Below are 15,727 nucleotides of genomic sequence, written 5' to 3' on the forward strand. Positions count from 1 at the left end.
CTCCAGACTGTAAAATAATTTCTGTTGTTAATAAGTTACTGAGTCTAAGGTATTTTCTTACAATAGCCCAAGCAGATGAAATGGTCGAGGAAAAGGTATCAAGTTTTTGCCACTAAATTGGATGTTAACTGTGAGCTTATCATATATGGCCTTTATTGGTAGAGGTACATTCCTTCGATACCTAATCTGTTGAGAGTCTGAATTCTGTCAAATCCTTCTTCTGCAAATGTATTAAGAATGTTTTTTGTCCTTCATTCTGTTAATGTGGTGTATCCTACTTATTGATTTGTATATGTGGAACCATCCTTGCATCCCAGGGATAAATTCCACTTGACTGTGGTGAATGATCCTTTTAATGTGTAGTTAATTCAGTTTGTTAGTATTTTGGCAAGGATAGTGACAAAGGACATTGGCCTATAATCTTTTTTTTTTTTTTTCTTATAGTGTCCTTCTCTGGCTTTGGTATCAGAGTAATGCTGGTCTCATAAAATGAGTTTGAAAGTATTCCCTCCTCCTCTTCAATTTTTTTTTTAAGAGTTTGAGTACAGTGAAGTCATCAGGTGCTGGGCTTTCCTTTGATGGGGGACTTTATTACTGTTTTAATCTCTTTACTTGCTATTGGTTAGTTCCAATTTTCTATTTCTTCATGATTCATGTTAGATTCTATGTGTCTAGGAATTTATACATTTTTAGGTTATCCAATTTGTTGGCATAGAGATGTTGCATAATAGTCTCTTATGATCCATTATATTTCTGTGGTATCAGCTGTAATGTCTCCTTTTTCATTTCTGATGTTATATATTTGGGTCTTTTTTCATTTCTTAATCTAGCTAAGGTTTGTCAATTCTGCTTATCTTTTCAAAAAAACCAACTCTTGGTTTCATCAATCTTTTCTATTGTTTTTCTAATATCTTCTGCTTTGATCTTCATTATTTCCTTTCTTGTACTAATTTTGGGATTAGTTTGTTCTTTTTCTGCTTCCTTGAAGTATAATGTTGTTTGAGATGACTTTTTCAATGTAGGTGTTTATTGTTACAAAATTTCCTTATTAGAACTCCTTTTGCTGCACCCCATAGTTTTGTAAACTGTGTTTCCATTTTCATTTCTCTCAAGATATTTTAAAATTTCTCTTTAAATTTAGTCATTAATCCATTGGCTTTTCTTGATTTCCACATATTTGTGAATTTTCCAAAATTCCTCCTGTTACTGATTTCTAATTTCATATGATTTTGGCTGGAAAAAATACTTGATATGATTTCAATCATTTTGGTTAAGATTTGTCATGTGGCCTAACATATGATCAATCCTGAAGAATGTTCCCTTACACTTGAAAACAATGTGTATTACAATGTTGGATGGAATGTTCTATATATCTCTGTTAGGTCCATTTGGCCTAAACTATAGTTCCAGCCCAATGCTTCCTTTTGATTTTGTCTGGATGATTTATCCATTATTGAAAGTGGGGTATTAAAGTCCCCTACTATTATTGTATTGCAGTCTATTTTTTCCTTCACATCTATTAATATTTGCTTTATATATTTAGATTCTCTGATATTGGTTACATATGTTTATAATGTAGTATCCTCTTAATAAACTGGCCTCTTTATCAATTATATACTTACCTTTTTGTCTTTTTTTACATGTTTTGGCCTAAAGTGCATTTTTTTTCTGATATACATGTAGCTACCCCTGCTCTCTTTTGGTTTCCATTTGCATGGAATACCATATTTTATTCCTTCACTTTTAGTCTGTGTGTGTCCTTATACTGGAAGTGAGTCTCTCACAGGGCACATACAGCTAGCTGGGTCTTAAAAAAAATCCATTCACTGACTATATATGTTTTTAAATTGGATAATTTAATCCATTTATATCCGAGGCAATTGTTGATAGGTAAAGGTTTATTATTGCCTTTGTGTTCACTGTTTTCTGTTTTCGTTTTGTTTTTAATGCAGATCCTTTGTTCCTTTCTTCCTCTCTTGCTGTCTTCCTTTGTGATTTGGTGATTTTCTGTAATTATATGCCTGGATTCCTTTCTCTTCATCTTTTGTATATCTACTATAGGTTTTTGCTTTGTGGTTACCATTAGGCTTAAGAAAGAACAATTCATAGTTATTAGGAGTCTATTTCAAGCTGATAATAACTTCAATCTCATATACAAACTCTCTATACTTTTATTCCTCCTATTCTATGCTTTTGATATCACAATTTACATCTTTTCATATTGTACATCCTATGACAAATTATTGTAGCTATTATTTTAATAGCTTTGTCTTTTAATTATAATAAAAACAAGTGATTTATACACCACCATTATTAGAGTATTCTGAATTGACTATTACCAGTGAGTTTTACACTTTCATATGTTTTCATGTTCCTAATTAGCATTCTTTTTCTTTTCAGCCTGAAGAATTCCCTTTACCATTTCTTGTAAGGCAGATCTAGTGATGATGAACTTTCTCAGATTTTGTATGTCTGGAAAAGTCTTCTCTCTCCCTTTCTGAAGGACAGTTTTGCTGGGTTTGGTTTTTTGGTTGGCAGGTTTCTTTCTTATTTTCAGCACTTTGAATATATCATCCCACACTTTCCTGGCCTACTAAGTTTCTGCTTAGAAATGTGCAGATAACTTCCTGAGGGTTCCCTTGTATGTGAAGATTTTCTCTTGCTGTTTTCAATAGTCTCTCTGTGATTTTTGACAGTTTGACTATAATATGTTGTAGTGTGGTCTTTGGTTTGAAAATGACTGGAGAACTTTGACTCTCCTTTACCCCGATGTGACTATCTCTCCCCAGATTTGTGACGTTTTCAATCATTATTTCTTTAAAAATACTTTCTACCCCTTCTCTCTTCTACTTCCTTAATTGCTATAATGTGAACATTAGCTCTGTTGAGGATATCCCATAAATCACACAGGCTTTCTTCACTCCTTTTCATTATTTTTCCTTCTCTGACTGGATATTTTCAAATAACCTGTATTTGAGTTCACAGATTCTTTCTTCTGTTTGATCAATTCTGCTCTGATGCTCTCTATTGCCATTTTTCACTTTGTTCAGTTTATATTCAGCTCCAGAATTTCTGCCTAGTTACCTTTTTTTAAATAATTTCAATCATTCTGTTAAACTCCTCATTTTATTTGTGTATTGTTTTCCTGATTTTGTTGAATTGCCCCTCTGTGTTCTCTGGTAGTTTACTGAGCCACCTTAAAAGAATCATTTTGAATTATCTGCCAAGATATTCATAGATCTTCTATTTCTTTAGGATTAGTTCCTGGAAAAGTATCATGTTCTTTGGTGGTTTTATGATTCTTTGGCTTTTCACGTTGCTTGTTACTTTGCATTAATGTCTGCATAGTTGATGAAGCAGTCACCTCCTTCTGACTTCATATACTGGTTTCAGTGGAGAAAAAAACTTCTCCTTCAGGTGGGTGTGAGGACACCAGCTGGGTGCAGTGTGACAGTTCTGACTCCAGTAAGGGCATAGCAGCATAATCTCTGTACAGCTCTATCAACTGATGTTAGCACTGTCAAAGATTACAAGGATCCTCAGCAGCCACTGTCCACAGCAGCGGCAAGGGTTATTGGGTGCTCCAGTCACGAAGACTGGTGGGGTCGGTCCTCCTCATCTCTTTTTCTCCTGCCAGGAAAGTTGTGGCCAGTGGAATCCCTCTTGGCACTGGGTCTGACTTGCAGGTGCATTTGCAGTGGTGGCAGCAATGGTATCTCATATGAGGCATCCATGAAACAGCCAACAATTTGGGTTCTGGAGCATGAGCATGTGTAGGAACCATGGCTCCAGGGTCTAGGGCTGAGGTGGCACCCATATTCAGAGTGCAGGTTCCACCATTCCCATGTTAGTAACAATGTGCAAGATGTGACTGCTTTTAGATCAGCCAGGGGGCTGAGATCCAAAGCAGCAGCACACACACAGCTACAATGTTTCTGGGGTCTGAGGCATGGACTCACTCACTGTGGTAGAAGTAGTTTCATAGACACAGAAACCACAGCTCCAGGGCGCAGGATACAGATTATTCCATAAAGGCAGTGGTTCTTGTTTCTGAGGCATGGGCACACAGGGAATTACAAAGGTTCTGGGGTCCAAGGAGTGGTCTAGTATATTGTGAAGATGTCAGATGTCAGATGTCTGAGGCACAGATGTTGAAAGAGTAGCAATGCAGCCAATGTTCATAGCAAAGCAACCTGGGCTCCAAGGCTTGGGTTGAGGCTAGTCCACAGCCATGATGGTTCTTGTGTTTGAGGTGAGAGTATGCATAGTGGGACAGAGTCTGCAATGTGGGTATGCGGCCATGGAGCCAAGGCCTGGTGTGTGGACATGTATGGGGCAGTGGAAGCTCTGGAGTCTGGGGCTCATGTCAGGATTGGGAGGGTGGTGGTCCCAGTCCTGGAAAGGCAGCTCCTTCTTGGTGGTGGTGGTGGGGGTAGAGGGTGCAACCACATCCTCCTCTTTGGGGATCCACAGTGGTGATGACTGTTGATCACCTCAATGGCAAAAGATACTGATGTTGTGGTCAGTGGTGACTATGGTAGCACCTACCATTTGCCTGATACCGGTAGCCCCCACCCTTCTTTGTTTCTAGCCATCTCCAGATGTCTCAGGTATGCCAGTCTCCCCAGCTATCCTTTCTGTGCAGTTATCCTCTGGATTTTTGTTTGTTCACTCCACTATGTTGCTACAAATTCATACTTAAACATTTGAGCCCTCCCAAGGCTACTTTCATTCATGGAAAGATATCTAGTTCTTGTTTTTTGTTCGGGAGTGAAGACTGGTATCTCCTACTCGACTATCTTGCTTCTATCACTCAGCTTAGCTGTGCTTTCTTGTCAAAATTAGGAAAACAAAGGTGATCGTTTCCGATGATAAATACAATTAACACTTGCATAACTTCTGCAAAAGGGCTTTACTATTCTGGTTTCTCCATATAGGACATAAATGCCAGTTTGTTTCATCTATGAAGGTGGTTTATTTTTAAATAAAGGTTATGTAGAACTTTTAAGTGACACATATTATATAGAAGTCTCGAAGAAAATTATGTTATGATCACCTGTAGAGTTTTCTAAGCAATATGGTCCAAGAGGATGAGTTTCTCCACCTGATTCTGTGAGAATCAAGGCAATCAAAACAGTTATTTACTTGATCATCCTCAGATGTGTTGGGGTGAAGAAGAGAGGATTGTGATTCACTGATTTATAGCAAGATTTAAAGAAATTCATACATATACAAGCAATCTGATGCTTTTTTCATTAAAAACTTCAACTTTATAATAATATCTTAATTTTTCCTTTGAAAACAAAACAGCTTTTTTTTCTTTTCGTTACGTGGATGTTGAAAATGACTCAGTCAATTTAACTTTGGCCTAAGCCAGCTAAAGTCTGTAGATATAGAAGTACAGCTTAAATGGGAGTTAAAGGATCTGGGCTAAAATCCCAGCTTTGCCATTAACTAACAACACTGAGAGAAAATCTAGTAAACACATAGTCTTTTAAACATCACGTTGCTCAAAAAAAAGCCTTTTTAAAAACAAATGAGCTTATTTTAATTGAAGTACTACTTCCCTCAAAGATGTCCACATGCCACAGTAGACAATATTTCTTGCTTGGGCATGGTCGCTCATGCTGTGATACCAGCAATTTGGGAGGCCAAGGCAGGAAGATAGCTTAAGGCCAGGAATTCAAGACCATCCTGGGCAACATAGCTAAACCTTGTCTCTACAAAAAAATTTTAATACTTAGCCAAACATGATGGCACATATCTGTAGTCCTAGCTACTCAGGCAGGAAGGATCCCTTGAGCTGAAGAGTTCAGACTGCAGTGAGCTATGACTATGCCACTGTACTCCAGCCTGGGCAACAGAGTGAGACCTTTTCCCTAAAAATAAAAATAAAAATAAAATATTTCTTTACCATTTTTAGCTACTAGTCTGTTCACAATTACACTTTTGAATTTCTGCCCTTTACTTCCATTCCACTTCTCCCACAGAAAGGAAAAGGTTCTTCATTTAAGTATAATTTGCAAATTCCCTAGAATTCACTCAACTTTTTGTTTTCCTTATAAACAAAACAAAATTCAACTTCTCTCATCTATGTCAGACATGCAGGGAATAAAAAAAGATAACAAATAGAAAAACAACCTGCAAACTCCACATTATACAAATATTAAGTTACTCTTGTTTGCAATTAATAATGAAATGTTTTCAGTCTCTTTGCCCTTTGAATCTTGGCACTGAGTTTCTACTCCTATTTATCCAGTTCCTCAAAGGGAAATACTGGATCACCTTGCTTTTCAGTTCTTTTCCTTTCCATTGGCAAAGCAGGAAAGCAAGCACAAAACCATGAGTATTCATTTCTATGGGTCTGCAAAAACTTAATTATTTTCTATTTTTTAATCTGGAGTCACCCAACAGCCCTTACTAAACATCAACAATTCCCCTTTTTTCTTTGGTGAATGCCTTAATCTGTTGAAAAGAATTCCCTTAATCAAGTCTGCTTATTTACATATCTAAGTAAAAACTTAAAGAAAATTTGAATATATGCTGACCAATTTAGGGAAATAGTGGGATTTTTTTTCCCCAACATTTGAAACAATTGTGTGATCTGGAAGATATTGGTAGGTTTCCTGGAATAAGACAAGCAGCATTATTTCTTCCTTTTCCACAACCCTTGGAGAATTAAAACATGTCTGTGTCAAAATCTGTGTTTCCCCAAAATGCAGCCTGGAAAAATGTAACTGATCATCATTCCCCAGGAAAAGAAGAAAAGAAATGCTAGAATTCTATGGCTCTACCACCAGATGAGAAATAACGTAACTGTAGCCAACTTTTGTCAGCGACTCACCCACATCCCCTCACATTTAACCAGTTCAGTGTTCATGGACCTGACTGGGCTCCTTCACCAAATAAAAAGAACATTGGAGGCAAAAATCCATTCATCTTACAGTGGAAGGACTATATCTTAAATCTACAAAAAACATAAAGTCCCTCTATTATGCTTTCCAAAGGAAAAGTGACTTTCTTTTACTTCAAATGCATACTAGCCTCTCAACCAAAAGTTATTATTAAAGTCCGTTAGTAATATCATTATGAATTAAAGTCAATTAGTAATATCATTATGAACTAATTTATTGCCTACTACATTTTTGGAGGAAAAGTAACAAAGTCAAGCGAAATATATATTTAAAACAAGAATGGTAATTGTAATGACTAATGTGAATACTTTCCAATTTTCTAAAACAATTATATTCCTTCACAGCTAACTTCCTGATCAATTTTTCCTATCAGGGCTACTAACTCAAAGAAAAATAGAAGGCATATAATATTAATATAATCTAAAATTTTAAGGTAAATATAATGCATTTTACTTATCAACTTTAAAAATTACAAACACTGAAAATTATAATAAAATCATTACTTTTAAATGTCCATATTTTGGTATATTTCATTTATTCAGTCATTGAACATTCATGGGGGGAGGGGGTCTATGACGTACAAGATACATCTTGTGGCCCATTTAATATTAGAAACAAAGGAAGGAATGGAAAAAACATCAAGTAAACACAATGCAACTCCACAATGAAATTTTTAAAAACCATATATAGAAGAGAGAAATTTCAGATTGCTAGCCTCAATGTTTATGTCTTTACAACTACATATACAAACACAGAAATAGTCATTCACTCACTCAACAAATACCAAGCAATCATTAAACAGAAGACAATACTAGCCTATACGATAAAAGAGTAGTACACTAATACTCATGTTGCTTAAAATTAAGTTGAAGTCAACTTTAGTATTTACTACTCTGGACTTATAATTTAAGGTAAGAAATCAACATATTCAATAAAGACAATGAAAATTTGTGTTAGCACTTATTAAAAATTTAGAACCAAAAAATGCATCTGTTTATTTGGTATTTTATGTTTAAAGTTTCACTCTGAACTTTATACATTAAAAATACTCATCTAGATTTGAAAAATCTTTTCACAAACGTAGAGAAGAAAATAACAAAAATAAACTTAAAATAAACTTATAAGGATATTTTAAATTTAAAAATGTATTTAATGACCTAAGATAGAACTGATTAATTCTAATTTTAAAAAGCAGAAACTGTTTTTATATTCACACCAAAAGATACAAATAAAGTTATGTCATTTGCTCTCAATATTTAGTCAATTTCAAAATTAATATAATGTTGAGTACAGTCTTTCCCACAAGAAATCTATTAGTGTTAGCAAAAATATTCAAAACAACATTTTGTATTTAATGTATGGGAAGATATATGAAATCAAGAAATGTTGAATAGATTTCAAGTATTAAAGAAAAACCAAAAAAAAAAACCAAAACAATTATCAAATAATTCAGTGAAATAAAAAATATAAAGAGCTGTTACATAAATTTAGTATTATTGATTTGTATAGATCAGATGAGTTTAACCTTAAAACAAAGTTTATGTGACCTCTAAAATGCAGGTGGGGCTTTAATAACCAAGGCATTAATCATAATATTAAGAGGCCAATAATGCAAGAGGCCAGAAGCCTACCTTAATGAACTGATATTAAATTTCTTAGATACATTATTTTCTTAAAATTTATGTCTACAGTCTCTGAATCCCCTCTAGCTGATTATGGGAAAAAGAAAGACAGCAGGAGAAATAAACTTTTCAAACCAGAACCCAATTTTTTCCAGGTTACTTTCCTTCAGTTTACCTCAATAAACTGGCAGAGTTGGTGAAAAATAGGAGGTACGTTATTTAGTAAAAAAAAATTTTTTTTCTATCATTTGAATTTCACCATTTCTGTATATGTTTTACACAAATTTCTAAACTTAGTGTTTCCTCACTAAATTCAAGAAATAAATGTAAATCTTAAAATGTTTTGAAAAATCAAAATTGACATGCCTTTGAGAAGAAATTATCAGAAAGTTGGCTGGGTGCGGTGGCTCATGCCTGTAATCCCAGCACTTTGGGAGGCCAAGGTCAGCAGATTACCTGAGGTCAAGAGCTTGAGACCAGCTTGACCAACATGGAGAAACCCTATCTCTACTAAAAATACAAAATTAGCTGGGCGTGGTGGTGCACACCTGTAATCCCAGCTACTTGGGAGGCTGAAGCAGGAGAATCGCTTGAACCCAGGACGTGGAGGTTGCAGTGAGCCGAGATCGTGCCATTGCACTCCAGCGTGGGCAACAAGAGCAAAACTCCATCTTAAAAAAAAAAAAAAAGAAAAAAGAAAAAGAAAAAAAGAAATTATCAGAAAGTGCAAAGTGTGGTATCTACCCTTAATAGGGGTTGGTTGGTTAAGACTAACAGATATATTAGCCAACTGCATAGGACAAAACACAATTTAATGACAAACTGTATGGCAGACTAAGCATTATAGGAAATCAATGAAGAGACTACTAATGAAAATAACATAGTTCAAAACAGTCTGAAAAGACAAAATTTTCTTCCTTTTTTTGATATGAGTTTTACTCCCGTCACACAGACTGGAGTGCAAGGGGGTGATACGGGCTCACTGCAACCTCCACCTCCTGGGTTCAAGCAATTCTCCTGCCTTAGCCTCCCAGGTAGCTGGGACTACAGGTGCACACCACCATGCCGGGCTAATTTTTGTATTATATTTTTTGTATAGATGAGGTTTTGCCATGTTGCCCAGGCTGGTCTCGAACTTCTGGGTTCAAGCAATCTGGCCACCTGGGCCTCCGAAAGTGCTGGGATTACAGGCGTGAGCCACCAAGCCCTGCCCAAAAGTTTCTTATTCTTGTTTCTAGCTTAAAAAAGACAAATCTTTCCATTAGCTCTTCTCAACAACAAAAAAATTTACTGAATGTGCCCACTACATTTTATTTAAATACTTCACAAGCATTGTATATACAAAAATTGGTAAATTTTCAGACTTCTTTCAGAACACATGTACCTAATAATTCTTGTAGCTCTAAGTATCAGTGATGCAATGTTGAGAAAACAGCATATTACAAGAGAATAAGTATGTGTTTAGAGTCATATATATGAGCAAAATCCTGTTTCTGCCCCTTACTTGGCTTTTTAACCATTGGTAAATTATTTAACCCATGCTGAGTCTGTTTCTTCTTAAGTGAAATAAGGATAACAACTACCTGCTAGGGTTGTTGAAAGAATTAAATGAGATATCATATGTTAAATAACTAGCACAATGCCAGCCAGAAAAATAATCTGCGCTTATTAACTACTATAAATTCCACATGCAAACAAATTTCAATTACAGTGATATCAGAACACTAGAAGACCCGAATGCTTACTTTGCTTTATATTTTATTTCTCACTATAAAAACTAATATACTGATCTTCTATTTCATAGTAAATATCAATGTGTTTGGCTTCTAATTCTGTAATTCTCATTTATTTTTGAGAATTTGAAAAAGTTTATTTTTAACTTTTAAGTTCAGGGGTACAAGTGCAGGTTTGTTACATAGATAAATCTGTGTCATGCAGGTTTGTTATACAGATTATTTCATCACCCAGGTTTTAAGCCTAGTGCCCATTAGTTATTTTTCCTGATCCTCTCCCTCCTCCCACCCTGCACCCTTTAAAAAGCCCCAGTGAGTGTTGTGCCCCTGTATGTATCCATGTGTGACAGACTTCTTTCCCCCAAAATGCTATATATACAAACAATAATTCACATCAATTTGGGGACAGTAATAGATCCCCTGAAAACTAAATTAAAAATTATGCTTTATCTGACCATTTCAACTAAAATTTAGTCAATTAAATAAAATTAAAATCTCATTTCCTTAGTATCACTGGCCAAATCTTAAGTGTTAAATATCCACATAAGTCTAGTGCCTATTAGATGGCATAGACATAAAAGATTTCCAACATCTCAGAAGTTTCTATTGGACAGAGTTGGTCTGTAGTGTTATCACGGTGTGATAACTGAAACTATTTTTCTCTGCTTTTTATTATTCAATATCGAGATACCTCTCTCTCAAGTACATGCCCCAAAAGGCAGAGGTTGTGAATATGTTGCTCACAACTGAATCTTAGTGTCTAGCACATAATAAGCATTCAATAGATATCTTACAGCTGACATTATAGTTTTGTTTTAGTTATACTAAGCTAGCAAAAACTAACTGAATTGTTAAAGGTCAGTTCTGAAAGCTATGAGTACGAGTAGAGAGTTAAGGAAAAAAAGTAGTAAGTCAACTTACATGTACTCTCAACTGATACACTCCCAAAGACAATGAGGGCTCCCTATGTGCAGACTAAAGTTTTTTAGTTAGATACACATATTAACTAGATCACTTAAACAAAGATTAGGCCTTGTCCACAGCCTATTCAAGAATAGAAAATATGCTTATTTATAGCTCAATAATTTCATTATTCCTGTATGGGTTTTTCCTAGATAGAAAAGTTGAGTAAATTTATTTTTAAATAGTATGTATATACTCACACACAATAATTTAACAAACAAAACATTAAAAAAATTCAACAAAAGTTTTATAACATAAAAGATTATGGTGGCTGGATGTGGTGGCTCACGCCTCTAATCCCAGCACTTTGGGAGGCCGAGGCGGGTGGATCACAAGGTCAGGAGTTCGAGACCAGCCTGACCAACATGGTGAAACCTTGCCTCTACGAAAAATACAAAAATTAGCTGGGTGTGGTGGCACACACCTGTAATCCCAGCTACTCAGGAAGCTAAAGCAGGAAAATTGTTTGAACCCGGGAGGCGGAGGTTGCAGTGAGCCAGGATTGCACCACTACACTCCAGCCTGGGCGACAGAGCGAGACTCTGTCTCAAAAATAAAAATTAAAAAAAAAAAAAAAGATTATAGCATTAAGATTTTAGAAAATCTATTTCTTGTCAACATACCTGGAAACTAAGATAATTGCTGCTATATATGGAACAGAAAATAGTCTAATAATAATTTTGCACTTACACTGCCACATTTTTTCTAAGGGTATATTCATCCAAATCGTCATCAGAGCTGCTATCAGTTGCATCGGAATCCAAACCCTCTTCAACATGAGACAACAGCCCTGTAGCAGAAAATGCAAATCTTTGGATTTCCGCAGCTGTACACCGTGCAAAGCCATTTTTTGCATCATCCCACAATTTATTCTCTGCAGTCAATGTGTTAACTTCTGGCTTAATTTCAGTGCATTTAGGTAAACTATTACCCAAAATTGTGGTAGGTTCATGAAATGTCTTCATTTTGGGGAGTTGATGTTTCATAGACAATTTCATCTGCTGACCATAGTGCTTAACAACATGCTTTGCCAGGAGCATCTGCAAATGTTTCTGAGTTCTTCTAGCCTGGCTAAGTAAAATTTTCTGTTTGCTTACACAATGAAGTAAACGAGCATGTACTTCCTCCTCTTTTTCAGCAGCTGAAGAACTAACAGGCACATTTGAGTGGCCAGGTACAATTTTCTTTTGAGTACAGTGCAATAAACCCTTTTTAATCTCAGCATCAGTAACTTTATCCAAAAGTGCATTCTCTTGATACCATTTACAGTTTTGTAGTTGTACTTTATCTACATTAGTGTCTTTGGTTATATTTGAATCCAGAATAATTTGTACATCTTTCATGCACTGGCTCGTGGTATCTGATAGAGGCTCCTTTTTGATGAACTCTTCAGAATGAGAAAGACAGATTTTACTGAGCTGAATGTTGCTGCCATTATACAGTATGTTTTTCAGCTTATTGCAACTGGGCTCCCCTAATTTCTTTTGTTTATAATTCTCATTGTGTTTATTTAATGTAGAATTAGATCTCATTAAAAAAACAGTCTGGTAATGTTTTGAAGACTGAGGGGAGCCAAAATGTTTTAAATTCACAAAATTAGTATTAAGAGTAGGTTCAGGAGTTGGAAATCCAAGCATCTGAGAAAAGGTGTCTCCCTTTAGCTTTTCATCTACAGTTCTGGGACTTTCCATGTAGAGCATCTTGTCAGACTCCATGGTACTTGGCAAAGATGAAAAGCTGATACCCTTTGCTGTTGCCTCCCTCAGAGCTGGGGTCATGGCGATTCCTGTAGATAAGTATTGGAAACCTACAATAATGTAAAAATAAATGGTCAAATATCTAGAAAAAAATTTTATGCTTATACTTTTTTCTAAGGGCAACATGTTCAATGTTTCTGATTAGAACATGAAGGAACAAAACTCCTCCTTCATCTCCCAACTCCCAACATTATTTCAACAAAGATTAAGCTATTCTTCCCTCTGACTGGGGGCCTAATAGCTAAAACCCCAATTAAAGCTACACATTGCTAGCACATAATAGGTGTTCAACAAATATTTGTGGATGTAATTACATCTCAGAATTCTATTTTTTGACAACATTTAATTACAGTCAAAAGAAAAAAAAAAATCCAGCCTATAATCTGGTAATAACAATAGAAAATGTGACTCAATTGTGTACTTTCAGCCAAAAATAAGAATTGCTTATCTTTATAAAATATAATAAATTTATCTAAACTTCTATTCCTGAAATTAATCATCACAGCCTGAACGGTATTAATAACAAGAACTAAAATATAATAAATAATGTGTAAGAAGACCTAAGTGAGGCCGGACGTGGTGGCTCACACCTGTAATCCCAGTACTTTGGGGTGCCGAGGTAGGCGGATCACCTGAGATCAGGAGTTCGAGATCAGCATGGCCAACATGGTGAAACTCTGTCTCTACTAAAAATATAAAAATTAGCCGGGCATGGTGGTGGGCAACTGTAATCCCAGCTACTTAGGAGGCTGAGGCAGGAGAATCACTTCAACCCAGGAGGCAGAGGTTGCAGTAAGCAGAGATCACGCCAATGCACTCCAGCCTGCATGACAGAGTAAGACTCTGTCTCAAAGAAAAGAAAAAGATGACCTAAGTGAACAGAACTAAAAACATATAACTTCACAGCTGTTAAAAATATGTGATAGTAAAAACTTGCCTAATGCAATGTCTCCTCTAAACGTATCTGCAATTTTACCCTTTTCACAAATGAATATGCATCAGAATATGCATTTACTCCTGCCTAGAAAATAGCGGAGACAGTGTCAGATAACCGCTAAAGATTTATCCCATAATTAAACAAATTTCATTGCATATTATCAAAAGTATAAATCCATATATTGATTCGCAGAAAAAGGCAACCCAGTACCCTTAAACATTATGAAGGCTGAATAGTTTGTAAAATAATTTTATGTCATTAACAATTATAAGCTTTTAAAGATACCTAGTATTTTGTAACCTGATATGCCAAAATTTTTGTTTCAACACATAATAGTTGATAGTCATTTAAATGGCACACTCTCATAGTGTATGTCCCCAGGTGCTAGTTATAACTCTACTTCCTTTATTCCTACTTAAAAACACAAAACCAAAAGCTGATTCTTTACAAAGTCCAACAAAAATGATCAAGAAGAAAATAAAAGCACAACAATTTCTATGTAATTAAAAAAACGGTTACTAGCAAAATGACAGACTAGGAGAAAATATTTGCAACATATATATCAGACAAATATTAGTTATCTAGACTATAGGAGGAATTCCTACAAATGAGCAAAAGATAGAGCAGTCAGGTACTTCACAGATGATGACATCCAAATGGTCATTAAACACAGACTTAATCATACTAGTAATGAGAGGAATATAGATTAACAAAACAAGAGCCTAGTTTTCCAATCACCAAACTGATAAAAATTTTTTTTTTCTGAAAACATCACATACATATCATGAGATGTAAGACTTCTCATATCTATTGGGATCATAAATTGGTTCAGTAATTTGACCACAATGTAGAAAATGTGTTTGTCAAACACATTTTTACCAAAGGGTAATGTTCATAATGGCAAAACATCCTTTCAAAACAATCTAGATGTCTAACAATAACAAAACAGAGAATAAAATGTGATGGAATACTATATTGCCATTAAAAAGGAATGACTTAAAGTATCAATACAGAAAGACCTTAAAAACAGTATCAAGTTAAAAATAAAAAAGAACACTGTAAAATATATATATAGTATAGTACCATATAAATATAACACAAACACAAAACCATACCATATATACGTATACATTTGTGTCTGTTTGCAAGAATAAAAAGTGAACCAGAAAAATACCTACCAAACTTGTACTAGTAGTTGCATCAAGTTAAGTTCCATGAAACAGAACTAAAAGTGATAGTTCAAGGGGATTTGCATTTTAACTACAAAATCTTATTACTTGAGGGGAAAAGACTAAATGCAAAATGAATAAATGTTAATGGTTAATACTGAGTGAAAAAAATTATAGATGTTTGCCTTTTTATGTATACACTTTATTGTATAATGTCTCAAAATGTAATTTCTATATGAGTTTCTGTATGTCTCAAAATTTATACACTTTTATATAATGCCTCAAAAATAAGCAAATAGATTCCCATTTATCCTAAATGCAAAAAAAAAAAGAAAAAAAAGATGGTTTTTTTCAGTTTATACTCTTTTATGGAAATAGAAAAACAATTCTAAAACAAGCTAGCATTAGGAAATTTCTTCCAAGATTCAAGTTGTTACTTGACCAACTCAAAGACCTATGTCTTCTAATCAATAAACACCCACAATAGTATTTAGTGTCTACATTGTTCTCTGAGGGAAACTGCTTTAATCACGCTTCTTGTTGATGTTACAGCACTCCTCAAAAGATACTAAACTTTATCTCCCACACCACACACCTGTCCCTCTCAAAAATCTGAACAGCGTACTATGAAT

General features: G+C 35.0%; 1 protein-coding gene across 17 annotated transcripts in view; it reads right to left on the reverse strand.

Moving 5' to 3' along the window:
* The window catches only part of KANSL1L (KAT8 regulatory NSL complex subunit 1 like), a 151,340-nt gene that overhangs the window by 120,152 nt on the left and 15,461 nt on the right, over window positions 1-15,727 (reverse strand). For 15 of the 17 annotated variants that reach the window (XM_047443489.1, NM_001307976.2, NM_152519.4 and 12 more), the window contains exon 2: window positions 11,923-13,039. In XM_047443489.1, the coding sequence (XP_047299445.1) occupies window positions 11,923-13,039 (1,117 nt within the window). Of the gene's footprint in view, window positions 1-11,922; window positions 13,040-13,579; window positions 13,602-13,621; window positions 13,664-15,727 lie in introns of those variants that run through there. The other 2 variants (XM_005246329.5, XM_017003430.2) reach the window with 2 other exon arrangements.

This window comes from Homo sapiens, chromosome 2 (genome assembly GCF_000001405.40).
Source record: "Homo sapiens chromosome 2, GRCh38.p14 Primary Assembly".
Classification (NCBI taxonomy): Eukaryota; Metazoa; Chordata; class Mammalia; order Primates; family Hominidae; genus Homo; species Homo sapiens.